Source organism: Homo sapiens, chromosome X, assembly GCF_000001405.40.
Source record: "Homo sapiens chromosome X, GRCh38.p14 Primary Assembly".
Lineage (NCBI taxonomy): Eukaryota > Metazoa > Chordata > Mammalia > Primates > Hominidae > Homo > Homo sapiens.
The window spans coordinates 129,051,532-129,071,838 of NC_000023.11; the positions used below are offsets into that span (position 1 = coordinate 129,051,532).

General features: G+C 38.6%; 1 long non-coding RNA gene across 11 annotated transcripts in view, besides 1 other annotated feature; it reads right to left on the reverse strand.

Annotated features, from left to right (window-relative positions):
- The window catches only part of LOC124905213 (uncharacterized), a 275,363-nt gene that overhangs the window by 140,462 nt on the left and 114,594 nt on the right, over positions 1–20,307 (reverse strand). The window lies entirely within an intron of this gene.
- Positions 17,097–17,275: a silencer, noted in NCBI's record as "fragment chrX:128202605-128202783 (GRCh37/hg19 assembly coordinates)". NCBI's record gives its function as "represses an EF-1alpha promoter that drives an FKBP-Casp9 reporter gene in an ReSE screen in K562 erythroleukemia cells {active_cell/tissue: K562}" and the evidence as "EXISTENCE:reporter gene assay evidence [ECO:0000049][PMID:32094911]".

Below are 20,307 nucleotides of genomic sequence, written 5' to 3' on the forward strand. Positions count from 1 at the left end.
GTTGTATTAGTCCAGTCTCACACTGCTATAAAGAAATATCCAAGACTGGGTAATTTATAAAGGAAAGAGGTTTAATTGACTCACAGTTCTGCATGGCTGGGGAGAGCTCGGGAAACTTACAATCATGGCAGAAGGCAAAGCAGAAGCAGGCACCTTCTTCACAAAGTGGCAGGAGAGAGACGTGAGAGTGCAGGAAAAAGCTACCACTTTTAAAACCATGAGATCTCGTGAGAATTCACTCACTGTCACAAGAACAGCATGGGGGAAACCACCCCCATAATCCAATCATTTCCCTCCCTTGACTTGTGGGGATTACAGGTCCCTCCCTCAACACGTGGGGATTATAATTCAAGATGAGATTCGGGTGGGGGCACAGAGCCAAACCATATCAGCTGTCTTAGCATTGACTTAGCTGACAGCAGGGCCCGGGCTAGGCAATTTGAGGAAAGGGGTGATGGGAAGACAATCTTGAGATGCCTTAAGCTTGCAAGACTTCTAGAGAGTAAATTCAGGCCAGAAGAGGGGCAACTACATGGTGTGGGTGGGGGGGCGCCCTGGTGAGGCCTAGGGGAAGTCAAGTTGTTAGGCAGAGGGAAGACATAGAAAGGGAGGTGGAGGGGTCAGCTACAAACTTTCTCTACTTGGCCTGTGTGTATATCAGAGACACTTAACTTTACAAAAACCATGTATGTGCATTGGAGAGAGGGGAGGAATGCCAAAGAGCAGGAAACGGACACCAAGGGAGCTGTACTTAATCATAATAACCATTAGTATTGACTTTGGTGCCATCTTAAAGGAGCCATTTGTTATAAGAACCAACAGTCAAAACCCCAAGCCAGCCAGGCTTTGTCTTATGAGCTCTAAAAATAATGGTATTTTGCTGTTCATCTGTTTTAATTTTCCAAATTCAAATGCAATTTGAAATCCATTCAAAAATTGATTTCTTTCTTCTAAACAAAGAGACATTAAAAGGAGAAAGGAAGGAAGGAAGAAAAAAGGACAGACAGGCTAGGCTTTTTAGTGACTCACATCATAATACCCCAAAAGCCGGAGCCCAAAGCAGTAATTATTTCCCTACCTAAGAAGTATGAAAGGAAAATGGGTGATAATTATGAACACACGAACAATATATAAAACCTCTCTAGAGCCGGGGCCAGCAAATCACTTACCTGCAGTTTCAACAACAACATATAAAAGCAGAAAGAAACACAGTTAAGGTCAATTGGCTCCTGGTTTTTAAAGTACCATCTCATTTTAATCAGCTCCCCATGCTATTCTGTGTCTTCAGCTGGAAAACTGGCTAAGAGAGATTAGAGTTGTTTGCTCTTTTTTAAGCAGCTTCAAAACAAAGTGGAAACAGTTGAGTGATCTTGCAGTTAAGACAGCTTGGAAAAGGTCAGCAGACGATTTCCCAGCCAGGCCTTTTGAGGGTGTCTGCATTTAGGTAGAGTCACCACAATCCAAGTTCTGGCATTCTACCTTACAAGATCTTGCTTCTGTCAATTTTCCCAGCCTCCGGGCACTGATACAATAGCAAAACTCACAATAAACAGACATAACCTGGACCTCCAAGATATTCATACATGATGGTGGGATGAATCTATCCAACAACGAGAATACTTGGGCCCACTATTTAGTTCTTCAGGAAAGAAACTGAACACATAAAGCAACTCTATAGAAGTGAAAATGAAGATGAACTGCATCCATATAAACCTAGGTTCAAGGATTCATGTAACTTAATTCTTTGGACCTTGGTTTTCTTACCTGTATAAAAGAGAATATTGATCACTTAGCATTGTTTTGTATATTTGAAATCACTTTCATGAGCTGGAGAGTATAGTACAAATGGAAGTGGTTGTTTTTGGCAATAAGAAGGCAGTTTTGTGCACATAAAATCTGAGAAGAGGGAACTGGAGAGTTCTATGGGGAATTTTATCCCACTCCACTAGATCCTCAAAAATTCCATACTGCACTATAGAGATCACCTTTCTAAGGACTCAGAGTCACCACACATAGTGTTTGTCCTTTGGACCCAGCTGAAGATGTTGAGAAATCTCTGATTTGTATCTAGCTTGCCTTTTTCAAAATTTCTTATTAGACACCAACAGCTTCCATCATCCTGATATCTCATGAAGCATATGTGGAAATCAGTGATATTTCATATATCTCCCATGAATTACCTCTGAGATGGAGGCCTTCCTGGGGACTTTTCCCAACCTTGGCAGCTTACACCTTCATGCATCTGTCTGAGGGGTGCTGCTGCAAGAATTACACTTACCTACACTGGGAAGATTCATGTGGCCTTTCATTTAAGGGGGATCCGTTTTCTTACCAGATCCACAAATTCTGTATATGTCCCTCTGTTGAGAGCAACAAGGAATTCTCCCTTAGAGCCAGGAGAGGGAGAGGTGAAATTGGGGAGTGGCAGTGATCACACAGAAAGGATGGTTCTAGGTCACTGGGGAGCTAATCACTTCTCTGGGCCAGTGAAACCCGGGCAGGGTTTGCTACAGGAAGAAGCAGAATGCCAGGAAACAAGAAGGCTCGGAGGCAAATTTCAGAAACCAGAGTGATAATCCCAACAGGAACTTCCCACTTTCCTTGGAATCAAATTTAAGCTTCCTATCATGGTCCATGAGACCCTGAGTGATCTGAACTCTGCTTGCTTCTCCATCTTCAAATCATGTACTCACGCCTGCTCCATTCACAATGGCTTTCTTTCTGTTCCATAGACCTGTCCACTCATTCCAGGCTTAGAGCCTTTGTACCTTACTTCCGTCTGGGGTTCTCTTCTCCCATATGCTTGCCTGAATGAGTCTTTCCCATCACTCAGGTTTCAGCTCAAATGTCACCTCCTCAGAGAGACCTTCTTTGATGACCTTTCTACTAATGTTGCCCATTCCATCAGCCACTCTCTGTCCCATTGCCATGTTTTATTTTCTTAATGTCACTTACCTGACATTATAGTACTTTTTTTTTGTTTATTATCTGATCTCCTTCAATGAGAGATAGAACAAGAAACCACAATAGGTGAGATTAAGGAACTGTAAGTCAAAACTTTTAATAGACTGTCGGGATAGACAAATGCTGAAAGCCAGGGAAGAAATGTCTTGTCTTGTGCATGTGTATAAGCAGACTGGATCGATTTAAATAGACTGGGGTCAACAGGATGTAACCTGCATCAAATACCTACTATATACCAGCCACTTTTCATATATTATCATCACAGGTTTGCAAAAGATTGAACACCATGTTGATGGCTCCAAGGAATACTCATTCCCTGCTTCCTTATGTCCATGGAGGAGAGGGACAACGGCTCCAATGCCTAGGAGGGAACTGAGCTAGAATTCTACATTTGCTGCTCTCCACGACAGGATGGGCAAACTTAACCAGAAGGTAGTGTCATTTCATTGAAAGAATAAATGCGGGTCTGTCTCTTTTCTTTCTAGCATTTTTCAGCTCCTGATCTCCATTTTGTAAGACCATCTGAGTGAGGACTCTCAATTGCAAAAGAGGTCTTCCATTCTCCAGCTTCTAAGACTACAGCTAATTTTAATTTGGGGTAGTCAGAAGTCTCATGCCTAAACCTTAACCTTGGGTCGATCTTTAACAGAGAATCTTGTCTTTTAGATATAAGCAGAGAGATGGTAGAATGTGTGGACTTAGACCACTAGGGTTTTCATCCTGGCTTTGCCACCTACTGTGTGACTGTGGATAAGCTGTTCAAGATTTCTGTCCCTAAATTTCTTCCTCTCTATATTGAAAATATTAATCATATTTACCTCATAGGTATAAAGATTAGGTAATATGATACAAATAAATATCTAGAAAACCATTAATAAATTTTAGTTATTGTTACTAATACAAATACTAAAGAGGAGACATTGATCTACATCTAATTCCTTGTGTTTGTTCTCAATTGGTTAGAGCCAAGCAGGGTAGACAGGTAGACAGACTAGCCTCAAAAATCTTCAACATGGCCCAGAAAACTTAGTAAATAAACACAAAGAGTGTTATTTGTGGACCAAAGCATTATGTTAAGAGACCAAATTTCGTGGTGAGCCTCACTAGCACTGGGGTTTGGAGCTTTAAATATGGCTTCGTCTGGTCTCTCAGGTTTCGGTATGGGTCCATGATATGCAAGTAAAGACTTTTATTTGGGGTGTCTGGGGCCTTACCGGGATTTAGCCTTGGACAGAGATAAAAGTGAGCTCCAGAGTCAGAAGAAGCACTCTGGGGTCTTTAGACTACAAAAGAAGTAGAATTTTTATGAGTTCAAGAATCCCATGGGAAGAGGGCAAAGTCCTTACTAGAGTTAGGTATGGCTTACCTGGAAACCAGAAGACCACTGAAGCTAGTATAAGCATTAGCTGATCTCTAGTATGTGAGATTAGGCAACAGATTCTTCTTGTTTACTTGTTTAGGAGGAATTCCCCTTGTTATAATTCTCAGCTAGGAATATAGCCTAAGGCTTTAAACCACAATAGCAGCTAGATTTCTTATGAGTTAAAGAGAAATAATGTAAAATTTGGGGGCTTTAAATTGTTAGTGTTGGGTGGCTTTATATCAGCTGCCAAATTCTATCCCCCTTGATCTTGACTGAAACAGCATGTAGTACCAGGGAAGCCTCAGAGGGACAAATTTTGGATCTGTTTGGAAGGTCCACAGAATCCTGGGAGTCTCTTTTTCCACCTTCCATTCAAATTACCTATTCAGGAGGATGAGGGCTTCTTGTTTTATAATTAACAAAGATAAACGGTCTTTTTTTGATATGTTCTCCAAGAGCCCTACTATCATAGGTAGTGAGTGGTGGCCAGTTACTCTAGCACTGCTTCTTCCTTGTTCTTCTACCTCTCCCATCTCTCTTCCCAGCCTTTGCCATCCACTTACTCTACTGATCCCAAACTGTGAATATTCCTCAAGTATTTGGTTTTGTTTACTTTGCTATTTTCTGCCTTGTGCTCAGTAAGCTTAGCCACTCCCAAAGGTTTAGCTCTCTCCATCATGCAGATGACTCTCCTATTGGGTCCTACCTGCACTGTGTTTCGGATCTGCATTCACACCTTCTACATGCAATAATATGCTGTTAAGTGTTTAATAATTGGCTCATGGCAGTGGGTGCAAGGCAGACTCTGATTTCTAGCTTTTGCCAATTTCCATGCTATCAATATTCCAACCGTGGCCAATTTCAAGCTACTAATATGAGGACACCGAACACAGAGTTGAAAAGACATGTGCACAATTGGCTCTCCTGAGCCAGAACAACCCAGATCCCCACATCACTGTGGCTATAGGTAACCTCCACTTGGATGTCCTGCTGTCTCCTCAAACTCCACACCTTCCAAGATTAGCATCTCTCCGCCAACCTTCTCTTCCAAATTACTTTATCTCTGTCAGTGGTATCTGTTAGAAGGAAATTGCATTCCCCAGGCCTCCTGTTTTCCTGATTGAGCCACCACTAGCATAACACGCCTGGCTTTTCTGGGGCCCCTCATTCCCTTTTCCTCAAGGTGTGACTTAACTTACTAGTGAGGCTGATGAAGAAACTATACAACTCCATTCCATCTGTTGAGAGGTCAGAAGACTTCAGCCTGTGAACCAAATCTAGCTCATCACCTGTTTTTGTAAATAAAGTTTTACTAGAACACAGCCACGCTTGTTCCATTACCAACTGTCTGTGGTTGCTTTCACACCACAGCATCGGGGGCAAGTAGTTGTGACAGAGATCAACCATTTAGCCTGCAAAACCTAAAATATTTACTATCTGGCTTTTTGCACTAAAGGTTGGCTGATCCCTGTTCTGCAGCTTTCTCTTTCACCTCTGCCTGCCCTGAAAGAGTGTTTTAGGTTGCTCTCAGCCATATGGGAATCTTACAGGATGACCTGTGCTCCTGGAGGGGGAGGCTACAGTTGTCCTGGTGTGCCAATTACTATATGGGGAAATCTGCATAATTCACAGGACACTAATAATCACATCTTGAACTTCATTTACTTACTGTCTCAATTCTCACTTGGTTCAGAACTCAGGAGAGGAACAAAGAGGTATTACTTATTTCTCCCTAAAACCTAACAATACTGCCTATTTTCTGATTTTCCAAGTTCAAAATCCTGATGTACTCTTATATTCTTCACCCTTTCATCCATGTTATCCTGGCATGTGTCCCTACAAAATATCCCTCAGATCTTGTTCTCATCCCAGCTTCCATCACCACACATAACTGGATTACCTCAGCCTCCTCCCACCCCTACTCCTACATCCTTAATTGATCTTTCTGCCTGTAGCCTTTCCTCACTCAACTAGCTCTGTAGTAGGCACTGGAGGTAGAGATGAGTAAGTGATTGTCCTACAAGGAATTTACATTCTTTGAGGGAAAAAGGCAAAGGCAAATAAACAGGCAATTGTAGCACAGTGTGAGAAATACTAGGTACGGTATTGCCAGATCAATCCTACTGTAATACCACTTTTATCATGCTGTTCCCCCGCATAAAAACTTATGCCACCTACTGCCTGCTAACTAAAGCCTATTTCTGTGCAAACAAGGGAAGAGAGATCACTTTTGGGTTTGGGGCTTTTCTGGGGGTTGGGGTAATTGCTGTTTCTTAGAACTTTAAATTCTTTTTGAGAACAGAGATACACACACTAATGGGAAGAACGTTTAAGTGTTGACTTTTACTGGGTGGGAGCCAACTTGGGGCAATGCATACATTGTTATCGCTGCAGAAGGTACTCTAATATGGCTATGTATAATAAAAATGAGAAATAAAAAGTACAGGGCAGCTTTCTGTCCCAGTTTGGTCACTTTAATCAAAGTAACTCTCTGTATAGAACAATTTCAGAAGCTTAAGAAAGGGGGCACACATGAAAGACAGTACCAAAAGATTCAAGGGCCAAAACTTCCATCCTACTGGGACCAGGTGGCAAGAATTGGAAAAGCAGCCTCACACAGATGCAGAGGTAAGATTTTTTGGAGTCTTCACTGGGTTCTTCCATTAAAGGAAAGAACAAGGCTACTGAGTGACCACAGGCTGGATTACTAACCCTCTTGGGTAAACAGAGCAATAAATTGTGGTGCAGTAGTGACTTTGACCTATGACCTCAAAGGACAGCTCAAGGTTTTCTCTCCAGTCTCTTAAGTCTAGGACACAGAAACTCCTGTTAAGGCTGAAAGTTAAAATGGCCTCTAAGAACCCAATCTGTCTACCTTGTCAGAAGGTGCAACTCCTAGTGGCGGAGTGAGGTTCTAATCTTAATTATGCAGAGACTTGAAAATTACTGTTAGTCAGGCACATCTCCACATTACTCCCTCTTCATCTTCTCAATTCCATCCCTTTCAGTGTTATTTCTCACTACTGGAAATGTCTTCTCCCTCCTTCATCTCTACCTATCCAATCCTAGCACAATTCCACCTCCCCAGATACCAGTGTACTTACAATCAATACTATGCAATTTAACATTTAATTGTTCTCTAATCCTTTCATGATGCCTACATTAATCACTCCCAGGAATTAAGACATTAATGTTATTTTTAAGATGAAAATTATCTAGTTTATTGTAGGTGCTCCATAAACACTTGACAAGTTAAATTACAAAGTTGGTACTTTGGAAAAAGATTAGGAAATCGTGCAAATGTGCCTCAACAACTAGGCCATTACCAGTCATTACAAACAAAACACCATTGTCTTACAATTTGGTGGTTTGTAGACCATGGATTTTACTGCCAGACAACCTGGATTCAAATCCCAGTTCCACTGCTTGCTAGCTGTGTGAGCTTAGAAGGTCACTTAACCACTCTGGGCCTTGGCTTATTCATCTGTATAATGGGTGTAAGAAGAACTATCAACCTCATAGGTTATTGAGAGGATTTAATACATATGTATAAATTATTTAACAGAATGACTATAAGTGTTGGCTTACATTGTAAGTGTTGGCTGGTAATATTATTTTAAATTGTTTTATCATATCAACTAAACAGGGCCTCCTAGAAATAGGACACAAAACATATACAGTATTCTGATGGAAGGAATCACTAAGAAAAGGGCAAAACACAGACAGAAGCATGGAAAGGGCAAGTTCAAGGGAGGAGCCATACAGAGGGGCCCTAGAGGTCTGTGAAAAGACATACTATGAATGAAGACTCCTAAATTTGGAGCACTTAACACAAATTTCTCCAGCTTCACAGGTTTATCTTTGGCTGGTTCTCACAGTGACTGGAGTACTTCAGTTTGGTCCAAGTTTTACTCTAAGATAAAGAAAAGCTAACACTGCACTTTTGAAAGACTCCATTTGGTTTATTAAGTAATTAACTTCCTGATGCACAAAGGACAAAGCACTGAGGGGCCCTATGAAGCCAATTAAAGCCCAAATGGCTGGATTGCTGCAAAGAATGGGTACATGGGGAAAAGCCTTGCCTTTCTCATGCTACCTCCCACCAATCTACTAATTAGACTGGGGAGACAAAGAGCGGATGATGAGGAAGCCAGGAAATGCCAACCTGAAAGATGCTGGGAGGCCTGGGAACCAAAAGGAAATAAGGTAAAGCTCAGGGCATTCCTCAGTGAGTGTTAAGCAGGAACCAGGTGTTATAGTTTGGATATTTGTCCCCTCCAGATCTCATTTTCAAATGTGATCTCCAGTGTTGGTAGTGGGGCAGGTGTTTGGGTCATGGGAGAGGATCTCTCATGAAGAACTTAGTGCCCTCTCCATGGTAATGAGTTCATGGGAGAGCTGATTGTTTAAAAGAGCCTCGCGTCTCCCTTGCTCCCTCTCTTACCACGTGACATGATGGCTCCCCTTCCCTTCTGTAATGAGTAAAAGCTTCCTGAGGCCTCACGAGAAGCCAAGCAGATGTTGGTGACATGCTTGTACAGCCTGTAGAACTATGAGCCAAATAAACCTCTTTTCTTTATAAATTACCCAGCCTCAACTATTCCTTTATAGAAATGCAAAATGGACCAATACACCAGGCAGGTACAAAGCAATTTATTCCCTTTCCATATTATTTGAAATTATATTTTGATACATATTGAAAGCTCTTTGAGTTGTGAAACCATTTCTTATTCATTTCCCTTTTTTCACTCGTGTCTAACACAATGCCTGCAGAAAGTAAGTGTTCAATATGGGTTTTTGTTGTTATTGTTTTCTTTTTGTTTGTTTTTTAGAGACGAGGTCTTGCTATATTGCCTAGGCTGGTCTGGAACTCCTGGTCTCAAGCAGTCCTCTTACCTTGGTCTCCCAAAGTGCTAGCAGTGCAGGCATGAACCACTGCACCTGGCCCCAGTACAGGTTTATTGAATTGAAATATGTTTGCATGTCAAAAATGGATAAGGATGGGAGAAGAACCTCTCTGAGTCTCTATTTTCCATTTGTAAAATGGCAGAATAGGCTGGGCGAGGGGTTCACGCTTGTAATCCCAGCACTTTGGGAGGCTGAGGTGGGCGGATCACTTGAGGTCAGGAGTTCAAGACCAGCCTGGCCCACAAGGCGAAATCCTGTCTCTACTAAAAAATATACAAATTAGCCGGGCATGGTGGCACGTGCCTATAATCCTAGCTAATCAGAAGGCTGAGGCAGGAGAATTGCTTGAGCCCAGGAGGTGAAGGTTGCAGTGAGCCGAGATTGTGCCACTGTACTCCAGCCTGGGCGACTGAGTGAGACTCCATTTCAAAAATTAAAAATTAAAAAAAAAAAAAGCAGAATACCAATAGACCCTACCTCATTAGATTTTGAGACCTAGTCAAGTTAACACTTATACTTAGGAAACATACCTGACAATAGTAAGCACTTTATACATTTCAGGAATTATTTCTAAGAGAATTAAATAAAATTAAATGAGATGGAATGTATACAGCAGGGGCCACAGCATTTCTAATTAGGACTCAGACACATTTGGGTAAATCTGGTACGAACTTTAAAAATTCCTAAAGGGCCTATTTTGATGTGGTCTGGGAAGGCTTCTGGAGGAGAATCATGGTAAGGGAAGGAATAAGGTATATTGACCTTGATAAGGGATGGAATGGGAGTGTTGAAACAGCTTAAGTCATCAGGGATCCTAAGCACTGTGAAGTATCTGCCATTTGGCTCTATTTCCTAGCCCAATCCCACACGGCCTATGACAGAATAGGGAGTGATGGAACAGTTAAGGATGTTCAAGAGTATTAGTGAAAGCTGTGAAGGGGAAAAGGGTGCTGAGATAAGTAACTTTGGAGGTGAGTGGGGACTGTAAGAGTTAAGGCAAAAGGAACTGCACAGGAGCACCATGCTCTATTAGTTGTTTCCCATGGGGTATGGGTTAACAATTCTGATACTGCTGTACATGTACAGTATACTAGAATTGAACAATTAAGTAAATGAATAGCAGATGGTAAGAGCCAAGTTTCTTGCTGTTGAAATGGATGGTCACAGATGAGCAAGTGGAGAGGCTAGAATAGAGTTGGAAACATCAGTTTAAATTCATGTTTACCTTAACATAGATTTACCAACAAAAAGTACAAAAATTGGAAAAACATGAAAATCAATACACCAAAAAAAGAATACTTGTTTACAGGATGAGAGCCGCAAACAAGAAGGTAGAACATCACCTTGTTCCACCTCAGCTGAGAAGGTTTATATCAGACTACTCAAAGTTTTTGCCACTCTGCACATGTCTGCAAATGAACATGAAGGCACCATAAGTATTGATTTGCAGTTTACAAATAAATTTTAGTAAGTAGGCAAATTCACAAATATGAAATCCATGAATAATAAGGATCGACTACATTAGAGTATAACTTGAAGTTCAAAGTAAATATCCATGAATCTATACTGATATAAATTATTGAATAAATAAATGGGAGGAAACAGACAAATCTCCCATGCAGAAGATTCCAAAAAATTTATGGAGATACTCTACCCTCAAGATACTACCCAATCAACCCAATGAGTTGTACATAGTGACTTCCTTCCAAAGACCACAGTATAGAAAGATATTTTTAAAAGAGTGACTTTACACCAGAGAAGTCAGGTTTCAGTTATTACACTGAAGAAACTTGAAAACTTCAGTCAGGTGATCAAGGTCAATATCAACTTTGATAAGTCATATTGATAGTTTGTACCCTTGATATGAATGATAAGAATGGCACTGCGCCTCTGTGGTTTTCCTTCCCCATACCCAAGTCTAACCATGAGACAAACATTAGACAAATCTCAATTGAGAGAAATTCTACAAAATAACTAACTGGTAGTCCTCAAAATTGTTAAGGTCTTCAAAAGCAAGTAAAGTCTTAGAAACTGTCACAGCCAAGAGGAACCCAAAGAGACACGATAATTAAGTGTAACTTGGTATCCCGGGTGGGATCCTTGGATAGAAAAAAGACATTAGGAAAAACAGGAAATATGAATAATGCATCAACTTAAGTTAATAATAATGCATTAATATTGATTTATTAATTGTGACAAATGTACCATAATTATGTATTAACAATACGGGATACTGAGTATGAGGTATGTGGCAATTCCCTGAAGTAAATCTTAACTTTTCTGTAAATCTAAAAAGATAACTACTCTAAAGTAAAAGGATTATTCAAAAACATTGTAAGGTAATCAGCAGTCCTGCTTTCGGACACTTTCCAATAAAATGTAATTCAAATGAAAAAGACGTATGCTGTTCCTACTTTGAGAAAAATTTTCCAGGTGTTCTGGGGCCATGAACACACCTGTGCTTTGTTGTCAGCACTCAGCAGAAAGGCAACAGGGTGAGAAGGAGAAATCAGATTCCAGCAGAGCAGGAGCGGCACCCAAGAAACAACAGTGCCTCAATGGGAGACAGTAGTTCCAGATGAATGTGTGGTTAATGTCCAACAAAGCAGCAACAGCACATGGCAAGCAAACATGTTCATGATCACATAGGGGATACCCACTAGAGACTGCCAAGAGTTTGAGAGACACAACAGGGTACTGGGATCCTACAAGAAGCAGATGGAGCAAGAGCCAATGATATTGGATTATATACTATTATTAAGACTGTTGAGAGCTAAGGAATCTTACAGGTTACACATGCAATGTCTAGCCCATAATAGGTCCTTCATAAGTTTGGTTGCTTGCCAGTGTGCTGGGAGTTGATATATCCTAGCTCACAAGAGCCAGTTTTTATATCTTCAAAAATTCTGTAAGCTGGTTTTTAAACACAGCCATTATTAAAAATTCAATTGTGTCTACCTACAATGAAATTATATTAAAACCAAAAGTAATAGTCAAAACACATCACCTTCTAATTCTTGAATTACATTACATTTTGTCTATCTATGCCCTTGAGGTTATTTATAGCTATAGTATCCTTAGGGTGGAAATACCCTATAATGGTATGCTTCTGTGCATCTCTTCCCACTATTTACCCAGTAACATCGCAATTGTAGCTTGACATCAACTATGGTAGGGATTATTTACAGTATGAAAATTGTGAAATGCTTAAGATCAAGGCTTAATTTATTGTTTTGTTGATAGTCCAAACTTTAAAAAGTGATGGAGAAAGCATTAATAATGCAGATTAAACTTAAAACTGTTATATCTATAGGCATTACATTTTGACTAATCAAGAAAAGAAGAACAATGTTCTTCCAATCTTCAAAACCTATTATTTGATTCAACAAAGGAGTTGCCCACATCACTGATGAATAAGTGAAATTCTGACATGCATCTTTGTTGTTTCACTTTCATTAATCATTAACATAAATGAGAATATCAGTCACGTTTATGTAGGGACTACATTCATTCATCAATCACAACCATAGATTGACTATGGATAAAAGAACTTGCAAAAATCAACAAAAGCATTCTGTAAGAATAAACTGGTTTGTGGAATTTAAAATAAGGAGTAACGCATGCTATTTTTTAATTGTGTACTACTCATCCTTTATATCAATACAATGTAAAAATGTGCACGCACATGCATTTTTTTCTGGAAAGTTTTTTTTTTTTTAATTATACTTTAAGTTTTAGGGTACATGTGCACATTGTGCAGGTTAGTTACATATGTATACATGTGCCATGCTGGTGCGCTGCACCCACTAACTCGTCATCTAGCATTAGGCATATCTCCCAATGCTATGCCTCCCCCCTCCCCCCACCCCACAACAGTCCCCAGAGTGTGATGTTCCCCTTCCTGTGTCCATGTGATCTCATTGTTCAATTCCCACCTATGAGTGAGAATATGCGGTGTTTGGTTTTTTTTTTTTTTTTTTTTGTTCTAGAAAGTTGGTTGTTCATGTTTTACCAGCACACCCCGCAGGTTCCTTGTCCCTTTGTTCTGAGGGAGACTATATAGAATATATAAATATATATCAGCAGTCACTAGACTCCTGGTTTATTGCTTAGATTTTTTCCAAGTTTCTCCAGGTGAGATTTGTTGGGATCTAGCCTGAGAAACAAAGACAAGAAAGGAGGGACTGTGTGAGGAAGCTGGGCAGAGGCTGAGGAATGAGCATGTAATACCTAGGAAAACTGAAGGAATTAAGACCAAATCTCACACATGTTAAGCAGGTTGGGTCAAACTTAGCTCTAGCTGTCTCTCTGTTTCCCACTCCTGGACTATTTGCAAGAAAGCATAACTCTTTTCACTCATCCATGTCTTCCAAGCTAGAGTAAACACATTCAATTTTCAGAAGCTTCCAATGGCAGCAGAAATTGATGTATTAAATTAGGAAGAAGCATTGTTTAGCATATGTGAGAACATGAAAAAAAGCTAAAATACAAAAGTAAATAATGTACTGGGCATGGTGGCTCGTGCCTGTAATTCCATCACGTTGGGAGGCCTAGGAGGGAGGATAGCTTGAGGCCAGGAGTTTGAAACCAGCCTGGGCAACCTAGAGAGACTCTGTCTCTACAGGATCACCTAAGGTCAGGAGTTCTAAAGCAGCCTGGCCAACATGGTGAAACCTTGTCTCTACTAAAAAAAAAAATACAAAATTTAGCCAGGCGTGGTGGCATGCACCTGTAATCCCAGCTGCTCGGGAGGCTGAGTCAGGAGAATTCCTTGAACCTTTGAGGCAGAGGTGCAGTGAGCCAGAATCACATCATTGCACTCCAGCCTGGGCAACAAGAGCAAAACTCCATCTCAAATATATATATATATATAATATATATACAATATATTATATATTATATGTATTATATATACAATATATTATATGTATTGTATATACAATACGTTATATATTGTATGTATTGTATATACAATACGTTATATATTGTATGTATTGTATACACAATACGTTATATATTGTATGTATTGTATATACAATACGTTATATATTGTATGTATTGTATATGCAATATATTGTATTATATATGCAATATATTGTATGTATTATATATGCAATATATTGTATGTATTATATATGCAATATTATATTATATATACAATATATTACATTATATATTACATATACAATATATTATATATTACATACACAATACATTATATACAATATAATATATATGCAATATATTATATGTAAAATATACACCATATTATATATGCAATACATTATATGTAAAATATACACTATATTATATATGCAATATATTATATGTAATATATACACTATATTATATGTGTGATATATTATATGTAATATATACACTATATTATATGTGCAATATATTATATGTAATATATGCATTATATTATATATGCAATATATTATACTCGATATAATATTGTATGTATGATATATACAATATATAATATCATATATATTATAAATAATATATTGCATATTATATATATACAAAAATTAGCTGGGCATGGTGGCATGCACCTGTAGTCCTAGCTACTCAGAAGACTGAGATAGGAGGGTCACTTGAGCCCAGGAGGTCGAGGCTGCAGTGGGACTATGATTGCACCACTGCACTATAGCCTAGGCAACAGACAGACTCCATTTTTTAAAAAGTAAATACATAAATAAAATGAGTATAATGGAGTACTTGCTTACATTTTGATACTACTGCTCCCTGTTGGCTTCGCCATAGCTGACGGAGAGAGGACCGTCTGTTATAAAAGGTGTCTCAGGGGACCTACTATCATCAGAACTGAAGCTTGACTTTCAGAGAGGCTCTTGTCAATTCAGAGAGTATTACAGAACAACAAAACATAGTCTTTCTTGCTGTTCCTTCCCTAATCAATACATTAAGTCTTCACTTAACATCCTTGATGAGAAAATAATGTTTTTTTATGTCATTTAACTTAAAGTTGCAATTTCCAAGAACCTGTCAATGACATTGAGGACTTACTGTACTAAAAATTAGCAGCTAGCACACATCCTTGACACAACCTTGATTTCATAGTGTATATGTTAAGTGTGCAAGAAACACTTTAACATTTTTTGCCATGTTTGATTATTAAGAAGAAGCTTTGTAGTTTAATTTGGGTATTTTAGCTATTATTGTATGTGTGTTATAATGGGAAATGGAAAGAAAAAGGATCAGGAACAAAAGTAAAAAAAAAATGTCAGAGATCAAGGCAATAGGATTCTGGAGCTAGCACAAACTGACAAATTGGTTTACAAGAGCCAATCGTGCACATCTCTTCTGAACACAGAATTCAGTGCCCTCAAGCTGGTAGCTTGAAACTGGCCTTGGTGAGTGTATTTACATCACAGAAATAATATCCAAAATATATAAAGAACCCTTACAATTCAATAGCAAAAGAAACCAAATAACCCAACTTAAGAATGGGCAAAGGGGACAGGCGTCGAGGCTCACGCCTGTAATCCCAACACTCTGGGAGGCCAAGGCAGAATCACTTGAGGTCAGGAGTTCGAGACCAGCCTGGCCAACATGGAGAAACCCCCTCTCTACTAAAAATACAAAAATTAGCCAGGTGTGGTGGCAGGTGCCTGTAATCCCAGCTACTCAGGAGGCTGAGGCAGGAGAATTGCTTGAATCCGGGAGGCAGAGGTTGCAATGAGCTGAGATTGTGCCACTGCACTCCAGCCTGGGTGACAGAGCAAGACTCTGTCAAAAAAAAAAAAAAAAAAAAAAAAAAGAATGGGCAAAGGAATTGAATAGAGATTTCTACAAAGAAGCCATTAAAATGACCAACAGGTATATGAAAAGATGCTGAACATCACCAATCATCAAGGAAACACAAATCAAAACCACAATAATGCTACATCACAACTGTTAGAATGGCTATTATCAAAAAGACAAAAAGTAAGGGTTAGCAATGACGAAGAGAAATTGGAACCCTTGTACACTGTTGGTGGGAATGTAAATTGATGTAACCACTGCAGAGAACAGTATGGCAGTACCTCAAAAAACTAAAAATTGGACTACCACATGATCCAGCAATTCCACTTCTGTGTATACATTCAAAGGAACTAAAATCAGGATCTCAAAGAAATAGCCTGCACTCTCATGTTCATTGAAGCATTATTCACAATAGGCAAGATCTGGAAACAATATAAGTGTCCATGTATGGCTACATGGATAAGTAAAATGTAGTATATAAACAAAATAGAATATTATTCAACCTTAAAAAACAAGGAAATCCTGCCATTTGAGACAACACAGATGAACCTGAAGGACATTACACTAAGTGAGATAAGCCAGTCATAGAAGGACAAATACTGCATGATTCCACTTACATGAGGTATCCAAAATAGTCAAACTCATGGAAAAACAGAATAAAATGGTGGTTGCCAGAGGCTGGGGGAAGGGGGAAATGGGAGGTTGATGTTCAATTGGTATAAAGTTTCAATTACGTAAGATGAATAAGTTCTAAAGCTATGCTGTACAATATTGTATTACTTAACTAATTACTGTAATTGTACAATATTGCTATACTTAACAATACTGTATTGTGAACCTAAAATTTGTTAAGAGGGTAGATCTCAAGTAAAATATTTTTACCACAATTAAAAGGAGACTTTTAATAGAGAAGTCACTGATGGGACTCATGGCTGCCAACTTTATGTTTCAATCCAAGGATCTAATTTCAAAGCCTCCATCAATCTCCTGACCCAACTTTTCACTGAAAAACAGCTTCTCAACAGTCTGTTCCTGCAATCATGGTTGTCACTTAAACTTTCATAAACCCTGGAAAATAAGGCGTCTGTATTAAAGAGTAATGCTAAGATGCTAATGGAAACTCACTAATTGAAGTGCTGGTCAAATCCATATTGGGAAGAGGCCCCTGGATTCCACAGAGACTGGTGGCCAACCGGGCAGCTCCCAGAAGCACTGAAGTTATCAAGACCCAGGAGGCCTGCTAATTACTTAAATACCTTCCTATTTTACCCCTTCATTTAACATTTAAGACCTTGAAAGAATCAGATGAACCAAGCAGAAGTTGAATTTTAAGTGGAGTGTAGATACTACCAGGTAGTTTTGCATCTACCATAACATAATACTTTTCAAAATATGACACTGATTCTGGGCTTCTTAGTTTTTATATATAAAAACATTTTGGTCTCTGTTATGTTCAAGTGCTCTTGTATCCTCATTATCATGAATGGTCATTTATTGAAAACACAGAGAACCTTTTTTCTCTTATGCACTTTGCAAATTTTCCTCAGCTTCTACAACACATTTTATTTCATCATCAAATCATTTATTTTAGGGCAATGAGATGATAGAAACAAATTACATAGGTGAATTCTTCTTCGGCATCAAGTCATGGATAATGCCAAACTGCGCTGAATCCTGGACAGACAGCAACTCATCTTAAGCAACTATTATACAAAGTATGGTAAAGCTATGTCAGCCAACAAAACTTGAAAGGCAGAAAATAGGGCATACTCCTTTATGCCTTAAAGGAAGGGAAATAGACTATCAGTAGCTGGACTCATCTGTTCTTTGTTGCTATTGTCAGAATAAGCCTAGAGATGCATTAGCTCAGAAAAGAATTGTGCTGCTTAACAAGATGGGGGAAGGGGGAGAGGATAAAAGGAAAATGTGAAGTACAATGTAAGCCCCGTATCATTGAAATATAGATCTTTCTTCCATCAAAAAAATGAAAAAAAAAGAAACCTGAAAACCTACTTTATATTTTTTAAAAAAAAACATAAAAAATTCTTTGCAAAGAAAATATCTGATAAAGGACTATTACCCAAAATGTACAAAAACTCTTAAAATTCAACAGTAAGGAAACAACCCAATTAAAATATAGTCTAATACCTTAATAGACATGTCACCAAAGAAGATATACAGATAGCAAATAGGCATATGAAAAAAATGTTCCATGTCATATGTCACAAGGGAAATGCAAATTAAAACAAAAATGAGATACCACTACACATCTATTAGAATGTCCAAAATCCAAAACACAACACCAAATGCTGGCAAGGATGTGGAGCAATAAGAACTCTCATTCATTGCTGATGGAAAAGCGAAATGGTACAGTCACTTTGGAAGACAGTGTGGCAGTTTCTTACAAAACTAAGCATACTCTTACCATAAGATATAGCAATTGCACTCCTTGGTATTTACCCAATGAAGTTGAAAACTTATATCCACACAAACACCTGAGCCTGAATATTTATAGCAGCTTTATTTATACTTGCCAAAACTTGGAAGCAATCAAGATGTCCTTCAGTAGGTGAATGGATAAATAAACTGTGGTACATCTAAACAATTGAATATTATTCAGTGCTAAAAAGAAATGAGCTATCAAGTAATTAAAAGATATGGAGTAAACTTAAATGCACATTACTAAGTGAAAGAAGCCAATCTGAAAAGGCCACATATTTTATGATTCCAGTTATGTAACATTCAAGAAAAGGCAAAACTATGGAGACAGTAAAAATATCAGTGGCTGCCAGGGAGTGGGGGAAGGGATGAATAGGTGGGGCACAGAGGATTTTTAAGAGAAATAAAACTACTCTCTATGATACTATAGTAGTGGATACACATCATTAAGCATCTATCGAAACCCATAAAATATACAGTAATGTAAACTGTGAGTTTTTGGTGATAATGATGTGTCCATGTAGGTTCATCAATTGAACAAATGTACCACTCTGATGGAAGATGTTGATAATGGGGAGGCTCAACACATGTGGAGGCAGAACATATAAGGAATATCTCTGTACCTTTCTCTCACTTTTGTTGTGAACCTAAAACTACTGTAAAAAATAAAGTCTGTTAAAGTCAGGTAGTGTGATACCTCCAGATTTTTGGTCACGATTGCTTTGGCTATTCAGGACCTTTTGTGGTTCCACATACATTTTAAAATTGCTTTTTCTATTTCTGTGAAGAATGTCATTGGTATTTGATAGGGATGGCATTGAATCTATAGATCATTTTGGGTAGTATTGTCATTTTCATAATATTAATTCTTCCAATCCATGACCATGGAATATCTTTCCATTTTTGTATCCTCTTCAATTTCTTTCTGCAGTGTTTTATAGTTTACCTTGTAGGGATCTTTCACTTCTTTTGTTAAATTTTCCTAGGTACTTTATATTTTTTGTAGCTATTATAAATGGTATTGATTTCTTGATTTCTTTTTCAAATTGTTCACTGTTGGCATATATAAATACTACTGATTTTTGTAGGTTGATTTTGTATTCTGCAACTTTACTGAATTCATTTATCAATTTTAACAGTGTTTTTGATGGAATCTTTAGGGTTTTCTAAATATAATACCATGTCATCTGTGAACAAAGTTGATTTGAATTCTTCCTTTCCAATTTGAATGCCCTTTATTTCTTTCTCTTGCCTGATTTATCTAGCTAGGATGTCCAAGAAAATGACAAAAACATCCTACTTATGTTGTGGATGTCATGAGTGTGGTTTAAAGCAATGATTGGATAAAAAACTGCTACCAGTAAATCATTTCAATTAGCTATACAGATCAAGAAAAATTTTTTAAAAAATAACGTGGTATATACGTTTGCCACACACAGCTGAGAAAATCAAGTTATGTGTACTAAGATGAAAACAAGAAAAACTAGGCAGAATGAACTGGAGGGGTGGGACTAATTATGCCTGGAATGCAGGAAAAAGAGAAAAGGGTGGGGAGAAATGGAGGGAGGGAGGGGGAAAAGAGGGAGGAAGGGAATCAGGAAACACTACAAAGCTACAAATCAGGGCTTTTTTTCCCCTAGAGAGCCAATTTACCAGCACACCACAGGCTCGAGGATCTTAGTGATCATCAAATGTAACCCCTTGGAGAATACTAAAGAGGGCAAGTGGGGTTGGGACACTGGGAAATGAGCAAAAAGCCAAAAGGTGTGAATTTGTGCAGGATGTGCAGGAAAGGGATGTTGAGAAAACCTTGCCCTCTTACCTTCTCCTAGGTTTTGAGACTTGTTCTGTATTCTGGGCCACGC